Here is a 23686-nt window from a genome sequence, read left to right on the forward strand (position 1 = left end):
ACAACCTGAATAAAGTAGGTGTAAGAGTTCTCTTGGTTGATCATGGATGACTATCGTGAGTCCTTCACTGTAAGTCTGATATGTGGTGTTATCTTTCAAGTAATCAGAGGTTTGCAGAATTAACAAGGGAGAGGAAGCCACAGAATACAAGGAAATTTGTTATCTATTAAAACCAGAGCATCACAGTTGGGCAGTAGCTTTGAAATTTGACAGGACTGTTTTCCATGCTTGACGGCAGTTTGGTTTAAATTAGAGAGAAAGTAGACCTTAAGTCTCTGTCAAACTTAGTGTCTGAAGACAGTGGCCACACTGGCAGCAAAACGTGAACCTGGTCATGGTTGAGTCAACAGTGGTGGATGGCACTCTAGGTTTAATAGAAGGAGCTGATATCCTATTGATGATATTTGCCTCTGCAAAATATTCCAGTTGTCCTCAGATTGCTGAAGACCCTTGCAATTACTTCCAGCCCAGTCATGCCATCACCATTCAGATACTCCAGGCAATCTAATAAGCCTGGTCCCATGTTTAACAATGCAGTGTTCTGATAGGAAGGGTTCTTATATGAACTCTCTTCTAAATAACCAAAGCAGATGGATTTAGGATTATCATCCATTTGATCTCCCACATTAAGTTTTGCAATCAAGTGGGAAGTAACTATTTCCTGATTAAGTATTTGAGCAAGTATTTTGGCATTGGCTTAGGCAGGCACTATAAGCTGGCAATCTGGATACCTCAGGATCCAGTTCTGATCTTCACACTCGTTACCTGGTTAATTCAGGAAAAACGTACTTAATTTTCTCCCTCTTTTGCTTAATTTTAAAGAATTAAATATAGCTACTATGTCTATCTAACTTTTCAGAAAAAAAAATCTTTGAAGAACATGTTACTTTAGAGGAGGAAAACGTATCTTTTCCTTCTTTCATTTTGGATTAATTGACTGGGTTAATTGGCTGGACCATGTAACAAAGGATAGATTAACAGGAGAAAAGTATACACATTTATTTAAGTTTCCCATAACATGGGAGATTTCATAAGGAAATGAAGACTCAGAGGAAGAGTTAAACCTGAGTATTTTTTATGGTAGGTTTGATGAAGAGTGGAGAGTTGTGGAGAAATAGGGCTGGGTGGAAAGGGTCTGATCTAATGGTAATAAACTGGGGGAAACTCAGCAAGGCCTATTCATTCAGATTCCTCTCTGTGCCCCTGTGTCTTTGGAGATGACTTTTCCTTTAGGATGTTCTTTTCCTCGAGGTATAGGGAGGGCACTTTGCACTTGAGATTTTTGTGGTCTGCTTCAGAGGAAGGTCGGAAAATTCTTCCTAGGTTTATGACCTGCTTGATAAAGGGGAGACCTCAGGCAAGGATGCTCAGAGAGACTTTCCTGCTTCTGCCTTTTTCTCAAATTCCTTCACCATAAAATATTCAATACACCAAGGTTTCATATTTTGGAGATGTTCTGAATCGCATCAATATTTATACTCCATATTAATATTTGGCTATAGAAAATATAAAAATTCTGTTTAAATTAAAGCCGCATAGACAATAGTATCTCCAAAATACCAGTAGTTCCAATAAACTATCTCAAGAAGATAAGAAAAGCTGGTAAAGATTGGCAAAGAAGTGAAATATTCAGAAAGAAATAGAATGAAAGCCATTATTGCTAGAGCTGGGGAAAGAAATTAACATGAGAGAAGTAGAAAATATAAATAGAATGAGATGAAGAAGAAAACCTAACATAAGAAGCCATCTATGAAATTAAAAGATACAAAAGTCAAGAAATCTAAGATTTACACCATAGGTATGCTTTCAGTGGTTATTTGCAAACCACATTCTTTTATTTGATTTCAAACCAGCCTAATTCAAAATAACTGACATAACATCAAAAGATATTTCCTATGGTGTTGGTTGGCTTTCATGTAAACGTACCTATGGAGTTGGAAAATATAGGAAGTGATGGAAGAAAGGCAAGTGGCTAAGTGGACTGGCTGAATTGCTGACTTGGTGACGTATGAATGAAACAAATAATTATCCAAATGACTCTCTGTAGGATTCAATCCAGAGAGTAATCAGCTCCACTCTCTATTTCCTTCCTCTGAATAGTCCTTTCCTGTTTTGTGAGATCTGGTGCAGATGAGACGAGGCTATTTTATTTTTGTCACTTGGGGTCCTGTTTTTGTGTATACAGTCCAAATTAAATGGCCTTAAAGAAACTGATGAATTCTGTCCATGAAATACTTTAATAAAAACAGTTGCCATTTACTGAATGTTTATAAGGCACCCATCTTCTATGGTTTTAATCTTCTCGATAGTCCTGGAACTTAGGTATTATAAATTCGTGTTAATATTTCACATTTCATAGTTTAAAAGTGGGCTCAAAAAATTAAGCTATGACTTTTGACAAACAAGCCATACTCATTTGGTTCCAAAAACTATGGTTTTTTTTTTTTTTTTTAAGTATGCAGTTTTTTTGGTTTGTTTTTGTTTTTTTTTTCTTTTCTTTTTTTTTGAGACGGAGTCTCGCTCTGTCACCAGGCTGGAGTGCAGTGGCGCGATCTTGGCTCACTGCAACCTCCGTCTCCTGGTTCAAGTGATTCTTTTGCCTTAGCCTCCCAAGTAGCTGGGACTACAGCCACACACCACCATGTCCAGATAATTTTTGTATTTCTAGTAGAGACAGGGTTTTATCATGTTGGCCAGGATGGTCTCAGTCCCTGACCTCGTGATCTGCCTGCCTTGGCCTCCCAAAGTGTTGGGATTACAGGCGTTAGCCATTGTGCCCGGCTGCAGGTTTTTTTTTTTTTTTTTTTTTTTTAAAGCTTTTCATCCTTTTGGGATTTAGCTTTGCCTGTGCAGATGCAATGTTAGCCTTTTACTAAAGAAAAGGGTGAAAAAGAAAGAGTTATTATATATGTATGGCATTTGCAGATTTTAGTACCTCCGATTTAGGAAAGAATTGTAATGATGCCACTCAATATTCCACCTACCTCTGGTAAAAGGAAGATTAGAAGATTGGAAAATTTGACATGACTTTGATGTGTTAAATGCCAAATAGTGCTGCACAGGATGAAAATTCTTTGGAAGACGACCACAAGTATAACTATTTTTGCAGGTGTTTTAGAGCAAAAATCTGTTCACTCAGTGATTCCACATTTTTGGGAAGGACTTAACTAGGAAAAATTTTACTTTGCAAGGAAGAAACGTGAAAATGCCAGAAATACAGAGGTAATTATTTTGATCAAGTGTTTATGTTACCAATTATAATGGCAAAATCAATTTTTACTTTATGGAATCATTTGTCAAAAAGCTCATGACATATTGGTAATGGCAGCAAAAGCAATTACATTTTGTTTCTTGATTAAGAAGAAAGAAAATGAGTATTACCCATTAATTAACAAAATTATGAAGAGTCTTAATTCAGATATACACTTGTTTCCTTGATGAATGCAAGGTGATTTGAGATTTGTAGAAACCTGTTGCAGTTTGGGTAAGGAAGGCCAGATTAGAAAGATGAATTTAAGCTTTGCTGGTAACACACTCAATGGAATGTAGAAAAAAATTAGAGTTTTCAAGAAGGAAAACTTTGATTTATCAGGACACATGAAGCTACTGGGGAGAAAGGATCCACGTTAGCAATTTTTCACATAGTCTTGGAAATAGCCTTGTATGTGGCTGTAATCCAAATTACAAATCTGTGTTTAACCAGATGACAACTAAGGTCAAGATCTGAATCTTCTAACAGCTTGATCCAGACCTTTAGTGAGACCCTGCCAGCCTTTGAGACTTCCCTCAGCATCTGAGTTGACACAGAGAAGTATTAAATATCCTGGACTGTGTCTGAGAGTCTGCTCCTAAATAAGGCTCATTTCTTTTAAAACCATGGATTAATTTCATTAAGCATGCAAGAGTTCTTTAGAAACTTTCTTGTGTGGGCTGTAGCTCATTTTCATTACTGTGTTTTTCTCCCCCCGACCACTGCATCACTTAGGACAATTCATTAGAAAATCCAACAGAATTTATTTGAAGTAACCAATTAATCCTTTGAGATGCAACAATTAATATGCAAATTGTATCACATTAAGAATCTCAGGAGGAATGAATTAAATTGAAAAATACAACCCTTCAGAAATTAAAAAAGATATTGTTTTTCCATCTACAGATTTTCAGACTTCATTTGATTTTTCTTCTATGGTTCATTTTATTATCTCCTTGCCTAGAAGTACCAAAACAAATGACCATGCCTGTCTTAAATGCATTACATCAGGATACTAATAGAAGGATATTAAACATGATAGCCATATTGACAAAAGACCTGATGAGGCAAATAACCATATACATAAATATGAATTTGTAACAGAATAATTACATCAAAAAGTAAACAATTTTCATTGCCATTTCCTTCTTAGAAATGTTCACAGGGAAATAAAGGACTAAGGTCATTTTGAGAACATTACTAAACAGACAACCTCTTTACTCATGCAAGTAAATTCTGTGTTACAGTTAGGTTTTAAATGGGTTTCTCTGATGACTGCATAATGTCAGGGAGATATGAATATTGCCAATAAAACAACTTTTAAATAGTGTCTAAGACTCACTGAGTGCTTTCTATATACAATTTGCTATTCTAGGCCCATAGCATGTCATCTGAGCCTCACAATGGCTCTGTGAAATTGGGACTGTCATTGCAATCTTGTAACTGCCCAATGGGCTCTCCTTGCCCGCTGTCTAGGCAGAGCCAATATATCAACGCAGGGGAATTGCAATAGAGAAAGAATAATTCATGCAAAGCCCAGCTGTGTGGAAGACTGGAGTTTTATTATTACTCAAATCAGTCTCCCTGAAATCTTGGGGATTGGGATTTTAAAGGATAATTTGGTGGGTAGGGGGTAGGAAAGTGGGGAGTGCTGATTAACCAATCAGAGATGAAATCATAGGGAGTTAAAGCTGTCCTCTTGTGCTGAGTCAGTTCCTGGGTGGGGTCCACAAGACCAGGGGAGCCAGTTTATCAACCTGGATGGTGCCAGTTGATTCAATGAGTGCAGGGTCTGCAAAATATCTCAAGCACTGATCTTAGGTTTTATAATAGTGAAGTTATCCTGAAGAGCAATTTGGGAGGCTTAGAATCTTACAGCTTCCAGCTGCATGATTCCTAAACCATAATTTCTAATTTGTAGCGAATTTGTTAGACCTGTAAAGGCAGTCTAGTCCCCCAAGCAGGAAGGGGGTTCGTTTTGGGAAAGGGCTGTTATCTTTGTTTCACAGTTAAACTATAAACTAAGTCCCTCCCGTAGTTAGTTTGGCCTTCACCCAGAAATGAGTAAGGACAGCTTGGAGGTTATAGAAGCAAGATGGAATCAGTTAGGTCAGATCTCTTTTACGATCATAATTTTCTCAGTTATAATTTTTGTAAGGTTTGTTTCAATCTTACAGGACAGGAACCAGAGGGTAAAGTGCTTTACCTGAGGCTGCCAGAAAGCTGGGCCAGGATCTCAGCCCAAGCATTTCATGCTAGGGATCATGTTTCTCACCATTGTGCCATCTCTGAGAAAGGTAAGAGAAAATATCATTGGCAAGTTGTTAAAAAAAATTAGAGAGATAAACATTGCTGTTGAGGTCATTATCATCATGTTACCTTCTTGCTCTTATTATTCTAAAGGTACAATAAGAAATATGCATTAGGAATTAATGCACAGGTGACTTGTTTTTCTACTGAGCTCAGGAGGCAATGAATGTATCATCTCATTATTTTACCTCAAATTTTCTCAGTAAGAGATTGCAAGAAGTCAAAATTGTCCTTGTAGTGGAAGTAGGGAATATTGAGGTGGCTACACAATCACTGGTGGTCAATATTTGCAGATAATTGAGTTAATTATCAAAATTCTTTTGGAAAACAGTTACTTTCTATAAACTACCCAGTATTCAGATTCCTTTTTTCTTTCTGCTTACTATAATAATTCATCATTATCCCTATTATCATCATCTTTGTTTTTTTTTTTTTTTTCAAAAGATTTGAGAAAACTGCCTGCACCCAATACCTCAGGGAAAAGTTAATTTTGGGCTGAAGTATTAATTAATTCAGCAAACCAGTGATTACTAAGCATCTATTCCATGTAAAATGCTGCAGTAAGTGCCTCATAATAAGAAATTTAAAATGCTCCAACTTTCAAGTATCTGCAGTTTAGTTGGGCCAACAAATCATATACACAATTATAATCCAAGGACTTCTGAGAAAAGTACTCTTAAAATTATATTATGTAAGATTTATATAAAATATGTAAGATTTATGTAAAATTTCAGAATTATATAGGAATTTATAGGTTATTTCCAAGTGAGGATTAGAGATAAGGATGAGGGAAATCTGAGAAGGATTATGAAGAGGGGGCTTTCAAATTAAGTTTTGTGGGAAGAATAAAGTGTGTGTGTGTTGGTATAAATCTATTTATTATGTAACAACTTTGCCAAATTTTCTCTGAAAAATAGATTCATCTTTATTGAGAAAAAACCCTCACTAGGCTAGAGAGTCAGTGTAGCAGTGTCACTGATATGCTGCTTAGTCACTATGTGATCTTGGGTAAATTACTATCCCTCTGTTTCCTCACCTGTAAAATAGGGATGACGAAAAATACCTGTGAATACCCATAAAATAGCGATGATCTGCATTATCAGGTTGTTCTGATGATTAAGTGAATTAATATGGGCAAAGCAATCACAACAAAGCTTGGGACTACATAAATGTTTGCTACTAGGATTATTCTTTAAATGGAATGGCGAATTCTAATCAGTGGTGTGCATTTTGGATGCTTAGATATTAAGGCAAGAATTATTTTGTATGTTTCATAAATAAGAGGAAGGACATTGTGATCTCCAACAATGGCCAAGGCACAGATATAAAGAAACATAAAGCTTGTTTAATGCAACAGTTGCATTTTAGTTTGTTTGCGGAAAGTGTGTTTTAATTTGGATTTTAAGAAATTAAAATATCTTAGTTATTCTAAGGCATATTTACAGGTCAGATTAAGATAGATAAGGTTTTTGAAGACTCATGAACATTAAATTATTCGAATTCTCTACTTTTTCTTAGCAGTCTTACATTTTTGATAAGACCACAAGAGCAAACATATCCTTCTCAGTATTTCCTACACGAAGCTGGGTAAAGTATAGAGATAAAACAATGTGGCACCCACTGAAAATTGATTGGTTCTTTAAGAGGATACTTCTGCAAGAAATCCTTTCAAGAAGATTAAAAACAGTCATTTTCTTCTGCCTCACATGATCATGTAGCAAAGGGACATTCTTATTCTTGTCTTTCTGGAAAATAAAACCTATTCTTAACACTATACAATGATATAGTCTAGTTTATACAGAGAACTTCCCCTCTTTCTTTAGCAGTTATGCATTACTCTGATCATTTGCGTAATGTCAGGGAGATATGATATGCAGTATTGTTAACCCAGGTAAAAATGAAACTCTCTCTTTTCTAATCTCATTGTATTCCCAAAGCTTCTTGATTTATTTTTATAGGGCTGCCTAGATTTTCATAGTAAAAAGCCACTTGAAAATCTTGTCTAAATGTGTTCAGGTGCATGCTAATTGATTTTCTTCCTTCTATTGAATTTTGCACAACAGGAGAAACAGCTGGAGCCAGTTTATTAACTAATTAGAAATCTTAGGGTTGGGAGATACCTGGAAAAAAACAGAAGGGGAAACTATCATGATACGAAAGAAAAGAGAACTTCCTGACAATGAGATATAATATTTATCCATTTGCCCAATGATTACTTCCTCTAAGAAGCTTGCAGCTAGAAATAGACTGGAAAGTAAATTAAATATACTTCCTGAAAGATGCTCCAGAATGGTAAATGTGTTTTTTGGTGTTTGATGGTTGATACTGGTATAATAGACTGGTATTTTATATTTCAGGGTGATTGTTTCAAATGACAATCACCCAACTCCAAATACTTTAAGCAAAGAAGGGAAATTATTGACTTATTTAACTGGGAATTTCTAGGGTGTTCTGACTCCAGGCATAGCAGGGACTCAAGTAATGCTGTTTGGGTTCTGTCTAACTCTGTCTCTTAACCCTTTTATGTCTTTTAACCCTTCCTTTTTATGTGGCTTGGATATGCTTTTCTGGCTGGCTTTCTTCCATGTGGTAGATAAGATGGCACTGGCAATCCCAAGTTAAATCCTTATGTCTTGAGATCTAAAGGGAAAAGGAAGCCACTCTCTCTCAAATGCACATATCAATTCTGAGAGTAGACCTTAATTGGCTTGCTTATGTCAGTGGTCCTGTCATATGTGATAAAAGTCTTCCCAGACATTTAACCTGTGTACACATCAATTGTTGACCTTGTAAAAAATGCAAGTTCTAAGGCTAGGCACAGTGGCTCATGCTGTAATCCTAACATTTTGGGAGACGACAGTGGGTGGATCACCTGAGGTCAAGTGTTCAAGGGTAGCCTGGCCAAATGGTGAAATTCCATCTTCTACTAAAAATATAAAAATTAGCCAGTTGTGGTGGCACACCCCTGTAATCCCAACTACTTGGGAGGCTGAGGCACAAGAATCGCTTGAAACCAGGAGGCAGAGGTTGCAGTGAGTCCAGATTGCACCATGCACTCCAGCCTGGGTGACAGAGTGAGACTCTGTGTCACAAAAAAGAAAAAAAGGAAGTTCTAAATAAGCTTTTTTTATATATTTTTTTATATGGATAATTTAACTCCCAAGGCCAGGAACTAATAACATGTGATGGACATCAAAAAAGGAGAAAACCAATAATCAATGAAATAAATAGAAATCAAGAAACTGAAGGAGGCTGTTATCAGAGAAAGAAAAGGCACAAGAAATTGGATAATCTAGATACCTGGGTAATAAATTCAAGCCTCATGTAAAACAGTGCTGTGATCAGAAAATTTATGTCCCTGGCAAATTCATATGTTGAAATCCTCACCCCCAAGGTGATGGCATTTAGGAGCTGGGGCAATTGGGGGCAATTAAGTCATGGGGAGTCCATGAAAGGAATTAGTGTCCTTATAAAAGAGACCCCAGAGATCCCCTTTGTTTCTTCCATCTTGTGCGGTTAGATGGCTGTCTATGAGGAAGTGGGTCCTCACTAGACATGGATCTGCTAGCACCTTGATCTTGGACATTCCAGCCTCCAGAACTGTGAGAAATAAATGTCTATTGCTTATGAGCCATCCTGTCTATGGTACTTTGTTACAGCAGCCTGAATGGATTAAGACAAACAGCAATGGCTCTATTTTCAATTGAGAATTAACCAAAAGGAAAATGGGTGTTTCAGTTCATTACTCTTAGTTGTACTCAAATGATAATTATGATCATTTACATTATGATACTGTATGGATACACACAATCCCATTTTATTTTCGTAAAAATTTTGAGAGAGAAGTTATTTGTAATTCTTCCTATCAAATCAGTGTAAGCCACCTAATTCCCTGAGCAAAGAGTATAGTCTTGCAGAGCTCAGCTCTGAGGACCAGCAATATGGCAGGATCAGGTTCCTAATTTGCTCCCATCTCCTTAGAAAAGCGAGGGAACATCTGTGGTTTGATACTCTTGGTATCCCTCAGTTGAAGTCAGCGTAGGTCTTTCTCACTACTCCCCCTCTCCCGTTTTGCCTTGTTCAGTGGTCTGGAGACAGTAGAGTAGGCAATGTCTACGTGACTGTGAACAGCACGCTCCTTCCGCTCCTCCTCAGAAGAGATTCCGGCTTCCGTCTTAAGAGGGCAGCCCCACTATTGATCATCTGCTTGTCATTGTCCTCTAGCTCCCTCTGTCAGGTCTTCCTCTAATCCTGTTATCCTTCTTGGAGTGTGATTCTCTGCACCCATCCCACCTCCACCATCTTTGTTAAAATATTTTGCTTTTTCAGCATAATTTAAAACCCAAGATAGGAGGAAGTCTACTCTGAATTATTCTCTTTAGTTCTGACCACCTGGTGGTCAACTCGGAATCTGTATTATTTGCATCATACTACACACAGTATTTCTCATTACAGATGGATCTTTTAGGCATATTTCTCCTTTATTTTCTACCTGAACATAAATTAAAAGGAAAGTGTAGAGTGTTCCTCATTTAAAAAAAATTTCTACATACTAGATAATTTTAATATAGAACACATGATAAGGAAGATCTGCCATGAAACTGTATGAAAAATATTTGAAAAATCAGTTAATGAAGTGGTAATTTTAGTCTGAATGTTTTAAAATGGAATGCCATTAAAAACACTTTAAAATATGGTATTTCTGATACGATTTATTAATCATGAAGAAGCACATATTGTGTTTTCATATCTTAAAACCAACAGAGTGACTTTTGATTTTCAGAGAGGTTTAATGTTCCTATTCAAATTTCAACTGTTTCTACAATTTTTGTTTTAATTGAATGATCTTAAAGTGTTTAGAGATTTTACTTCTCAAACAGGCCCTTTCCCAGGATTTCCTCTCAGAAAGTACATTAAATCTTCCATATTTGAACAGCAGCTTGATCTCTAGAGCTTTCCTCTGTATGTCTATTTAGCAGAATCTGCTCTAATAAGCTTACTTTTCCTTAGGAATTATTCTTTTCAGTCTTTAAATGAAACTTCCACTTCCTTCCAGGATCTTCTTACTACACAATTCATCTGCCTAGACAGTACCTGTTTCTTCCTCTTCTCGATTAATAGTTGTTTGGAATTTTTACTCAAAAGTTTTTCTTGCTATTTATGATAGAATGAATATTAAGTCAAATCTGGAGTGAACTTCCTTGATTGAAATTGTTCTTTGCTGGCATTGAAATAAATGCATGTGGAAGGAGCAGTGATAGTGAGAGAGTCAGCTTCTGTTGAATATCTCTGTAAAGGGACTGTCTTCCATGTGGTTCACTTAGATCTGCTCTCCTCATTTCAGACTCCTTCTCCAGGGCTCCAATATATTCTGCCTCACACTTCCAGTCCCCGCCTGAATGAATGGCCCTCAACCCTTCTTCTGGAGGCAAAGAAATCTGAGGCTTTCTCCATTCTTTTAAATCTTGTAATACATATTAGTTTGTTAGGAATGCCATAAGAAAATACCACAGACAGAGTGGCTTAAACAACAGAAATTTATTTTCTCACAATTCTGGAGGCTAGAAGTCTAAGATCAAGGTGTCAGTGGGGTGGATTTCTTCTAAGGCCTTTCTTCTTGGTTTGTAGATGGTCATTTTCTCTCTCTCTGTTTCTTCACATGATCTTTCCTCTGGGCTTGTCTATGCCCTAATCTCTCCTTTTTATAAGGACAGTCAGTCATACTGGATCCACTTTAATGACCTCATTTAGCCTAAAATTACCTCTTTAAAGATCCTATCTCCACATATCATCACATTCTGGGGTACTGGGGGTTAGGACTTTAACAAATGAGTTGGAGGTGTTGGGGCATAAATCAGCCCACAACACTCTATGTCTTAGTTCTTTGAGCTTTAAGAGCCTATTTGTGAGTTGTTGAAAACCAGCAAATTTATTGTTTCTCCTTCTTTGTCCTTGTTATAGAAAAAAACTAATTTTCCTTGAGGAAATGATTAATTGGTAAGATTATATATAAAGAAAAGCACACATGTTACTATTTTAAGACAGTATTTTACTGCTCCTACACTTGTGCTTGGCACTTCCTAAAATTAATGACCTTGATTAAATATGCACTGACTGTGTCAGTGTATGGAAGAGGAAACTGACCTGCAGAGTATAGGTCAGGTGCATAAGGTCACTTGGCCATTGGTAGTCATGACAAGAATAGAAGGCAGGAATGTCTGTCTGTAAGACCAAAGCCCTAATTGTAACAGTGACTATCTTCAATTTAAATTGGGCAAAAGTGTTTAAGTGTATTATATGGTATTAATGATTTATATTGCTTATAGTTAATGGAAGAAGAATACCAAAAGAGTAACGTGGTGGCCTGAATTGGCTTAGTAATAATTGCTGACATCCATGGTAGTGTCCTCTTGTTGCCATATGGTACTCAATGAAGAATTAACAAACCTTATATTACTGCTTTTGGTCCTAAGGCTTTTGAGCATAGGGCAAGACAAAAGAGAAAGTCTCTCTTCCACACACTAAATGGGGGCAGAGACCGGGCCATTCTGGTTTCTGAGTTTTATCCCACTTCTTGGAGAGGAGTGTCACTTACTTTGTACTTCAGCATCCCTTGCCCCTTGTTTATACTCCTTACAAAACAATACCAATACATGACAGAGCCAGTGGGCATATAAGTTACCGGTATAGGAAAGAATTTCAATGGATGTAGACTGTTTTCCACATTTAAGGATTGTTTTCCTTTCCAGAAAGGAAAATGGCCAATCTAATAATTTTGATGATGATAATCATAATGACAGTGAAATGGTGGAAATTAATTCCATGTTCTATGGTTTGGGCTTTGCATATAATTGTATTAGTGAGCAAAAAATAAAAAAAGATCTTGACAGACCCATTGAAATGGAATAAATTACAAAATTAATCAAATCTATTTGTCATTATTCCTGGCATATTTTATTTTTAGATTTTATTTATAAAAAGATGAATAATTAACTTTACTTATAACAAAGTAAGCTATTCATGGGAACTCCAAGTCCCATAAATTACTTCACCTTTCTTTAAAAGCAATGCAGAAAATATCTGTTGCCACTTTACTATTATCTTATTAGTAATTAAATTTTAATCAGGAATTTGGAAAGTACACATTAATGCAATGATTTGTATACTTGACCAAAGACTATGCGGAGGAAGGTATAAAATGAAAGTGAAGAAAATTATGAGGGATGAAATGGGAGAGAATGTGGAAATGATTTGAGGCTTGGGATTCTGTACTAGGAGCTCAGTATTTCAAGATTCTTTTTTTTTTTTTTTTTGAGACGGAGTCTCACTCTGTTGCCCAGGTTGGAGTGCAGTGGCACGATCTTGGCTCATTGCAAGCTCTGCCTCCTGGGTTCACGCCATTCTCCTGCCTCAGCCTCCCTAGTAGCTGGAACTACAGGCGCCCGCCACCACTCCCAGCTAATTTTTTGTATTTTTAGTAGAGACGGGGTTTCACTGTGTTAGCCAGGATGGTCTCGATCTCCTGACCTCGTGATCTGCCCGCGTCGGCCTCTCAAAGTGCTGGGATTACAGGTGTGAGCCACTGTGCCCAGCCTCAAGATTCTTAAGAAGAACATGAAGGTTTTGGCTTACTTACCCAACAATGAAAGAGAAGAGAGCTGTGTAAAAACAGTGTTATGAAGGAATAAGATTTGTTCATGGTCCCCAACATAGATGAATTAGCTATGTGTTTAAATTGCAGGTTTTAATTAGTTGTAAAGAATTTCCCAACTTTTCAGTTGCAAAATCCAGGAAAAGGTTAATAAAGATAGATCGTTCATTGGCTCATTTAACCATTTAATTAATTTAACTATTATTTGTTAAGTATGTATTGTGTATGAGGCACTGTGTAAGCACTGGGCATGCTTCTATCGTTAAGATTGAGACTATCATTGGCTTTATTTATCTTATAGGCTTTCAGAAACTTTGTCATCTTCATGAATATTCTAATGAATAGACAGAGGTCCCCAATTAAATTGCTACTTCCGAATTCTGAGGCTTTACCTCATTAAATTCAGCAGGGAGTTTTCCCTGTTCTCTGAGGTTTGCTACTATTCCTGAAGTGTGGAAGAGGAGAAGCATTTTCTCTAATCCCATCAGCAAGTGTGGACAACATTTCTGTTTTCTCTCCCTTAAAGTTTCAGGAAGTTTTAAGAAAAAGTTTACTGGAGGCACATTAGAGGTGAGACAAACATCTTGCTTACAGTGGTGGTTTAGGTAGAGGATCCATTTCTTATGTACTGAGTGCTAGTATGCTGAGGAGGGGCACAGGTCTGAAAAAGGGAAAAACAGAGTAAAATGCATCAAAGCTCAAGGGAGAGGTAAAGGATCAATGAGGTAGAGGTTCTATGCAGAGGTGGATGGGCGGTGTCTGTGGGCGTGTATGTTGAAAACAGATGGTGTTATGGATTAAATGTCTGTGTCCCCCTAAAAATCACATGCTGGAACCTAAGACCCAATGTGATAGTATTAAGAGGAGGGTCTTTAGGAGATGATTAAATCTGAAGATTAGTGCCCTTATAAAAAAGGTCAAGGGAACTAGTTAGGCCCTTTGACCTTCCACCTTGGCCATTTTGAGGACACAGCACCAAAGTGCCCTTCTGAGAGCAGAGAGCAAGCCTTCATCAGACGCAGAATCTACTGGTGTCTTGATCTTGGACTTCCCAGCTTCCAGAACTGTGAGCAATAAAGTTCCATTCCTTATAAATTATTCAGTCTCAGGCATTTTGTGATAGCAGCATGAACAGACTAAGACAGATGGGTATATGTTTTTCATTTGCCTGTGGTGTTTGGCCCTTGGCAAGATAGTGACGCATATTTTGAACATCATGTGGCAAGTTGTGCAACATCCTGTCTCTGCAAGAGCTCAAATGTCTCCTGCTGCACCTTCTTCATACTCAGTTGCAGATTGAGTCGAACTCCCGTCTCCAAACCCAGGCTTCCTGCTTAGGAAGAAGAAGTGAGCTCTTACCCGTGCCTTTTTCATTAAATAGGCTCTTTCCCCTTCCTTGTCTCTTGAGTCCAAACCCTTACTTGTAATGAGAACCTGGACTTAACACTTGTGTAGTATTTCAGTTCACTGGATCCTAGCTTGCTCTTGGGACTCTTTTCTCCTATCCTCTTTGAACCAGTTCCCATAACTGGCCATTATTTCCTCCCAAGAGGTTCCCCGATGTTCACTGCCTCTCAGCTGTGGGTTTTTTGTATGCCGGAACGACCCCCTGACATCCTACTCTGTCTCACTAATATGGAATGCTGCCTACATTTCTGCCCTTGTTTGGTAAAGAGGGATTTGGGGGATAATTCTTGACTCATCAGCGACCTTCTCTCTTTTGTATTCAGCTTGTAATCATGCTAATTCTGGTTCTGTGGCTGTCATAGTCAGTTTAGGCTGCTATTATGAACTACCATAGACTGGGTGGCTTACAACAATAGGCATTTGTTCCTCACTGTTCTGAAGTCTGGGGAGTTCAAGATCAAGATGCCTGCAGATTTGGTGTCTAGTGAGGGCCCTTCCTCATAGCCATCATCTCACTCTAACCTCACATAGAAGGGATGAGGGGTCTCTCTCAGCCTCCTATTCATGAGGGCTCCAGGCCTATGATCTATGCACCTCCTAAAGCCCCCACCTCCTAATACCATTACATTGGGGGTAAGAATTTCAACATACGAATTTTAGGGGGTCACAAACATTCAGAACATGGCAGTGGGGTTGTAGAAATATTAGCTAGAATTAAGGATCACTGTGTATACAAACCATAAAGTTGAAAGTGATTGTATTGATTAGATAATATGTTTGCTAAGATTACCTCTTGAACTGTCTAAGATGATAGAGGAAAATAATCCTAGCTGACAAGCTTGAGAATAAATTGGGAGTAACAACCACCTGTCAAGGGAGGGGGCTCCAGAACACTGAGAAGAAGAGGACAGTTGGGCACAGGGGCACCCGAAGAGCATGTGATGCTCAGCCTAGACACAAACTCTGACTGCTGGACCCACAGGCCAACTGCAGCTCTCAGAGGAATGAGGAAATACTTTGAGAAAACTTCTTAGAATTCTATGAGGAACAAACCTGCCATTTTCTATTTGTCTAGAGTCCAGTAACTCTGCCCTGCTGGAACCTGTCTTGAAACCCTTGGGGGTTCTCTGGCCTTTCACAATTCTAAAGCCATGTTGTGCTCCCCGTAATTAAAGGTAGAAGGAAGAAGCTTTAGCTTTGTTTATTATTTTATTATTATTTTTTATTTTTCCATCAGTTATAGGGGTATTGGGGTACACGTGGTATTTGGTTACATGAGTAAGTTCTTCAGTGGTGATTTGTGGGATTTTGGTGCACTCGTCACCTGAGCAGTATAAACTGCCCCACATTTGTAGTCTTTTATCCCTTGACCCCCTCCTGCCCTTCCCTCCAAGTCTCCAAAGTCCATTGTATCATTCTTATGTCTTTGCGTCCTCATAGCTTAGCTCCCACATATTGGTGAGGACATACGATATTTGATTTTCCATTCCTGAGTTACATCACTTAGAATAATAGTCTCCAGTCTCACCTAGGTCACTGCAAATGCTGTTAATTCATTCCTAAAAGCTTTAGCTTTTTGTTCTTCACTCGCCTAAGTAGCATTGGGGGCCACACTCTCTTTTTTGGAAGAAAGAGAAAGGAATTTTAATTACAGTTTTAAAATGCAACCCCAACTTGCTGCAATATTACCTTAATACTTTAGTTTCCTGTCTGAACACTATCCCATGGCTTTCTTATAATAATTTCTTTACTTCTATTTTGGACTGTGATGTATCAGTCTAGTTATTATATTTTAGTCATTAAGTAATTCAATCTAAAAACAAAAACGTTTGTTAAGCGACTATGCTAATTGCTGAGGGTAAATAGTAAAATACAATTCAATCTCTAGTTTTAAGGAGGAAAACCAACAGATGAATCACTAAGTGGCATAAAGTGATATGGAGGCTGTGACAAAAATATGTATAGGATAAAGTGGAGGCAGAAGGGAGAGGGATCAGGTACCATAGTTGAAATGACTTTTGGGTGAGTTTTGAAAGTCCCATAAGTCAATTTCAATGCCTGTTTTGTACTGGCTCCAACACTGGTGTCAGGCCAGACTTGCTTCCCTTAACAAAGTCCTTTATCTTCTCTTGGATTTATCATTCTCATTCACAAAACAGCAAAGAAACAATCACTCCAAAGTGTTATGTTATCTCCAGATTGAGGCTTTAATTATCAGGTCTTTACAATTTATTATAATCTTAAGCAAATGTCCGAAAATGTCATAGTAGAATGGAAAGCAAATTTCTTTGCTCAGAATTTGTAGAAGATTGAAATCTACAAAGAGGCAGCTTAGACCTGGCTTTGGTGAGTACTTAGGTTTCATCAATTTGAGAATGAGGATGCTTCACTGCTTTTAAAAACAGAAACAAAAAACTTACCTGCTCCTTGCATTTTAAGAAACTGGCATTCAACATGTTTTGGGGAATTGGCAGATGGCTTCATTTTCAACATTTCTGTAGTTGTGCCTCTGGAGATGTAGACAGTCCCTGTGGCTTTACTGAAATAGTTTTTCAAGTATCGAGTACCTGAAATTGGGAAGTGGGCCATATTTTTATACATCTAGTGCATCTGGTCTTACCATTTTTCCTGAGTTTGTCAAAGCTTTTAGAAAGAGAAAACCAAAGTTGTCACAAATAGATGGATGGTTTGCCAGTGACCTCACAATAAAAAGTTTTAGATCAAGAGCAAATTTATCTTGAATATTTTTATCAGTGCCCATCAACAGCTAAGTTTCTCAAAGAGAGACACTGTTGGCTGATTTAAAGGGTGTTTGGTAGATAAATATATTATTTGTATCAAAGTGTTATCATCTCTTTCCACCTTTATGTGAATTATGTGACAAACGTTCTATTATCCTTGTTTAGTGAATGATGGGTTTAAGAGCAAATGAGATCAGGTAGTTTGTACAATCTGAGACAGCTGGCATGGGGGCAGAACCAGGAATGAATACACTAACTCCATGTGGTTTCCATTCTACCAGTCTATGGTTGTGCCAAGAATATTCTAGGCTCCTTGAAAACAATGATTATTTTTAACATTTATGTTTCATTTTGTGCCAAATACCACTCTGGGAGTGGATGGTTTGATTTCCTCAATTTATGACACTACTTTCTAGGGATTTGTAGGTTACTATACCAAAAAAAGTCAAAATATGAAACTATAAAAGCCCACTGTCTAACATCTTGTGTTCTTTGAATAAAGTACTGTCAAGAACTGTGAAGGGCCCGAGATTTCATCCTACTTGTAAGCTATCAAGTTAGTCTATCACAGCTTCCTGGAGGCTGGTAGAAGACACAGATTCCTTAGAACAGTAGCAGTAGCCAAAGCATCAGCATTTCTCATGCTATTTCCCTGAGCCTCAGTTCCTACAGAGTGCTGCCAAGAGGGCCAGATAACAACTGCACATGTAATGGATTGCACTGTAGAAGGGGAACCCTGAGCCCAAGATTACCCAAATCTTTTATAGTGGGCAGTAAGCATGCTTGCTTTTTGCTCCAGAGGGAGACACTATCTCTATCTTCCAAAGTTGTTTAATTACAAACATCCTTGAAATGATAGTCCAGAACAAAGGGCAGTTAGGCAGCTTGCAAGATGTGTACTTGCAACTCGAAGACAATTCATGGAGGATTGTCTCAGAATATATTCTCAATTCCTTACATATTTGTATAATCAAGCTTCTCCTTACCTCTGCAGCCTCCTTTAGAGATCCTTCTAGCAGCACTTGCTGTGCTCTGGGCACTCCAGTCCTTTCTTAGCTCTTGAGTTGTGCCATGCTCCATTCCTTCAGAGGTCTGCCACAGGGTTTCCTCTGTCCAGAAGTAATCAACCTCCACCCTCGGCTCCTTATTCTTCAGGTCCCAGCTTCAACCTAAGTTCCTTAGGAAAATTTCTGACTTCCCACCAGCTCCTCGGTGCCTTGAATGATTTGAACTATTACCTTATGTGTAAGCTAACAAGTTACTCTACCAGTTCATAGATGCTGGCAGAAGACATGAGCCTCCTGGGTCAGATATAACTTTATTACTCACTGTATAGCAGGCAGCTGAGCTGCATGTTCTCGTCAGTTTCCCTTGTCCCTGAAGTCTCATTAGGGTGATGCAGAGCAGCCCAGGTCAATGCTGCACACAAGTGGGTTTGTACCAAAGCTGAGGAAACTTGAGCTTAAGAAACCCTGATATTCTGGAGGGGAATGCCAGCAAATCTGTCCAGTCTTTTCCCTGGAAGGAGACATTGTCTTTACTGTACTAGTCAGGAAATAAATCTTCCCTCTGCTTCAGAAAGAGGCATTATCGTTATTGTCCAAGGCTATTTATTATACAAACATCCTTAAAAAGAAAGTTTTGAACAAAAAGTGAGACAAGATGTGCATAAATGTAAAAGACCCACACACAACAGTCTTCCAACACTCTCCACTACACTGTCTATATTACAGTAGGTTTACCTTGTAATAAACTTTTACAAAACTGTTTATTTCTATAGCGCTTACTACAATTATATTTAGGAAAATGTTAGTGCAATTATTTGTTTAATTTCTATCTTCCTCACTAGGTTCTAAATTACATACCAATAGAGACCATATTTATTTTGTGTCATAAACATGTAACTCTGCAAAGCCTATCTAAGCTGTACCATAGAAACTTGTTGAATGAGGAATATGATTGTGGCCTCCCTAATGGCTTGGAGCCTCCTTTGCGAAGCCTCCTAGCATTACACTTCCTGCACAATTGCAATGATGCCTTTACTTCTCTGAATCGTCTACTAGATTTGAAGCTTCTCCACAGGAGAGTCATCATTTCTTTCCCAGTGGCTAAAACAATGCCTTGCACAGAGTAGCAGCGTAGTGAATATGTACTTTTATCAATACATATCTAAAACTCCATATCAAAGCAGTCTTAAGATGGTAAACTGCTTTTGCAGCTCATTTCCTAATGTCCTGTAAGAAAAGAGATAAATGAATAAAAAAATCTAAAATTATATCATTTTGATTCTGTGTTTCATTCATACTTAACTGAAAGTGGAAAAGTAGGTAGCTTATTTGGACAGCAGCAATTGTTTGATTTGAGATTATCAAATCTTTATCAAGTAAATGTGATCAATAGCTTTTTAAAATTTTCTTATGTATCCGACATTTTTAAATTATTTATTTATTACCCCATTGTTTAAAATATTTAGCTCAAACTTTTTATTTTAATGTGTGGCATCATAGCTTTGTTGAAAGTGAATGGGCTTTGGACTGGAAACACTACGATTTCAATTTTGCCTTGGTCATTATGAATTCAGATAAGTTGTACCTCTTGTTTTTTTTCAACTCAAAAATAGGGGGATATTATACTTGTTTTATTGTGCCAGGAAATGAGCACTTGTCATTTGTTTGGGAAACACAACATCCTTTGGTTTAAAATTGGGAAAATTCTTTACCTTGTGTTTTGGGGGTGGTGGAGACCTCCTTCCCCTAGAAAGCTGGAGATCACCTTTATACTAAAGCACAGGGATGTAACAGAGGATCTGCTAGGCAGGTTCACCCACTCCAGTTTTTGACTTTGTAATTAGTGACACAATATAGTTGCTAGTGACACAACGTGCTTCCTCTCTGTCCCTCTTTCTGTTGAAGTGGTCAGTAGCCATGATTATGAGGCGTAGGTCTCGGCACAGAAGTGACAGGGTAATGTCCAATGCTTGATGGTGGCAGCAACCCCTTCCTCATCACATCAGTCCTGCAGCACAGTTTTGGTGATCATTTCTGGAAACACATTCAGCTTGGTTCTCTACACTCCTGCTGATTCTGAGAGCTTCTTTTGATACCTTTAATTTCGTTTTCTGCCTACTCAGTCCAAGTCAGCTTCTGTTGAAAACCTCGAGTGATACAGACTCAGCAGATGCATCATTCCAGTTTATGTAGGTCCAATGGGTTTGGCAAGTGAGAGTCAGGCTTGTAGGATTAGGTTAAGGCTGGGTTAGGAAGCTTCCAGCAAGCCCTGAGCCTGGGGCCTTAAATGGCTAATATTATAAGCATTGCATACAATTATTTGGTTCAGAAAGATGAGAATGGGACAGTCTTCTATGATTCAGGCATACACATACATTCTTTCTTTTGACTTTGTTTCTTCTAACGTTTGGTCTAACTTAATGATGAGAATGAAATGTACTGTTCATTTGCCAGGGAAGTGTCGAGAAAGGGTGTTCAGTAAGTATGAAACGCTGCTGTCTAAACAGGAAGGGGCAGCCAGTATGGAGGACACATCAGTAACTCCATTGAAATGGAAGCACTTACAAAAGTTCTCAAATTGCCCAACATTTGCACCAAACTATGCATTTTGGGGTGGAAGTGTTTAGGTTCCCTGATCATTAGTATAAAACTTTATGTGCAGAGTTAGCCTTTAATTTTGCTTTTAAAGACTTTCTAAATTCTCTAACACTACAAAAAATAATAAACTATAAAAAATCTACACAATTCAGCTTTAGAGAAATTGGGGTGTAAAAATGAGAGACAAGGTGTCTTTTAGAACCCTGGACTTAGACACACGAGGCTCTGATTTCTTCTCCCCTAACTCACCTACTGCCCAGCTCTATGACAGATAGCAGGATGCTTACACCCTCCTTGCCTCAGTGTCCTCATCTGTGAGGGTGGGTAACAATTTTTTTTTTTTTTTGAGAAGGAGTTTTGCTCTTGTTGCCCAGGCTGGAGTGCAATGGCATGATCTTGGCTCACCGCAACCTCCGCCTCCCAGGTTCAAATGATTCTCCTGACTCAGCCTCCCGAGTAGCTGGGATTACAGGCATGTACCACCACGCCTGGCTAATTTTGTATTTTCAGTAGAGACAGGGTTTCTGCATGTTGGTCAGGCTGGTCTCAAACTCCCGACCTCAGGTGATCCTCCTTGACCTCCCAAAGTGCTGGGATTATAGGCGTGAGCCACTGTGCCCGGCCTAAATTGATTTTTTTTTTTAATAGACTTTAATTTTTAGGGGAGATTTAAGTTCACAGTAAAATGGAGGAGAAAGCACATAACATTTCTGTTTACTTCCTTCCCCACACATGCACAACCCCTCCCACTGTCAACTTCCAGTGCCAGAGTGGCATATTTGTTATAATTGATGAAGTTACATTGACACATCATCACCCAATTCCACAGTTCACATTAGGCTTCACTCTTGGTGTTGTAAATTCTATAGGTTTGGACAAATGTATTATGACACATATCTACCATTTTAGTGTCACACAGTGTAGTTTCACTGCCCTAAAAGTCCTCTGTGCTCTGCCTATTCATCCCTCCTTCCTGACTAATTCCTGCTGGTCACTGGCCGTTTTACTGTCTCCATTGTTTTGCCTTTTCCAGAATGTCATATAGTTGGAATCATATAACATGTTGCCTTTTCAGATTAGCTTCTTTCCTCTAGTGATATGCATTTAAGATCCCCCCATGTGTATTCATGTCTTGATAGCTCACTTTTAGCACTGAATACTATTCCATTGTCCGGATGTACCACATTTTATTTATCAGTTCACCCACTGAAGAACATGCTGGTTGCTTCCAAGTTTTGGCAACTAGAAATAAAGCTGCTATAAATATCCATGTGTAGGTTTTGTGTGGACCTAAGTTTTCAACTCACTTGAGTAAGTACCAAGGAGTGAGACTGCTAGATCGTATATTAAAAGCTTGTCTACTTTTATGGGAAACTGACAGTTTTCCACAGTGGCTGTACCATTTTGCATTCCCACTAGCAATGAATGAGAGTTCCTGTTTTTCCACATCTTTGCCAGTGTTCGATATTGTCAGCATTTTCGATTTTAGTCATTCAAATAGGTGTGTAGTGGTATCTCATTTGTTGTTTTAATTTGCAATTCCCTAATGACACTTGGATGTTAAACATCTTTTCTTATTTGCCATCTGTATATCTATTTTGATGACATATATGTTCAGAACTTTGGTCCATTTTTTATTTGGATCTTTCATTTTCTTATTGTCGAGTCTTATAAGTTCTGTGTACATTTTGAATAATAGTCCTTTCCCAGATATGTGTTTTGCAAGTATTCTCTCCCTGTTTGTGGCTTATCCTCTCATTCTCTTGAGAGGGTGAGTTGATTTTGATTCTGAAACTATTCTGAAATCACTGAAGGTAAGCAATAGACCAAATATTTTACATAGTACAAGAAAGAAATGTAAGGTTCTTCTGTTTTGCAATTAACACAGATTTTCAAAAAAATGTTTTTTTTGCTATTTGTGTTTTCTCATAATCTTAACAATGAACCCAAACCTATTGTTCTAAGTCTTTATTGTAAGGGAGCAGAATCCCACAGCTATTCCTGACATGGGAACAGCAGGACTGGGGCTACAGGAAGACAAGTGTCAAATTATAAAGAATTGGGACTACACAGGCCTAAATTTGTTTCTTAGGGGTTGGAGGGAAGGTGGCATGGGAAGTGAGGGGTAACCTAAAAGGGGGAGCAATCCTATATTTGTGTCTTTGTTTTCTGCTTCTGAGCAGCAACACTACACATGCAGTATGGATCAGCACTCCCTTTCTATCTTCTCTCTCAAAGCACAGGAACAATTTGCTACTGTCCTACAGCTTGCAATTACTGAATCTAAACCCACATATACTGATATCAAGAAGGAGTAGCAGTTACAAGTTGAAAGCATTAAAGAGCTGAGAACATTGAAGAGCTGGTGTTATCTTGAGAAATCCCTTTGAGTTTGAGTGGTTGATAGACGTGCGTGTTACGTGAACTGTCTTGGAGAAGGGGATTTGCTTGTGCTTTGTTGTGTGGCCAGAGTTATTCCTAGGGCTTCTCATTGTGTAATGCTGGCTTGAAGCCTTTGCTTGACCAGGGCCAGCTCCTAGCTCCTCCTGCCAGGCTGCTATTGTTAGTGCTGTCTCCCAGCATTCTGAGACAGCTTTGTCCCAGAAGTGCTTCATTGCACTCTTAAGTTATTACTTTTTCTTAGGACAATCTTGCTCAGGCTATTTCAGTTTCCTTGACAATCTCTTGTGAGAACTGTTCTATTGGGGGATGAGATTCTTCA

At 38.2% G+C, this 23686-nt stretch overlaps 1 long non-coding RNA gene across 1 annotated transcript in view; it reads left to right on the forward strand.

Moving 5' to 3' along the window:
* The first annotated feature begins 5431 nt into the window (after window positions 1–5431).
* LOC124904510 (uncharacterized) overlaps window positions 5432–23686 on the forward strand; it is a 54613-nt gene continuing 36358 nt past the window's right edge. The window contains exon 1 of the long non-coding RNA XR_007066877.1: window positions 5432–5547. This is a non-coding gene — a long non-coding RNA (uncharacterized LOC124904510). The remainder of the gene's footprint in view (window positions 5548–23686) is intronic.

Source organism: Homo sapiens, chromosome 1 (genome assembly GCF_000001405.40).
Source record: "Homo sapiens chromosome 1, GRCh38.p14 Primary Assembly".
In the NCBI taxonomy this organism is placed as follows: Eukaryota; Metazoa; Chordata; class Mammalia; order Primates; family Hominidae; genus Homo; species Homo sapiens.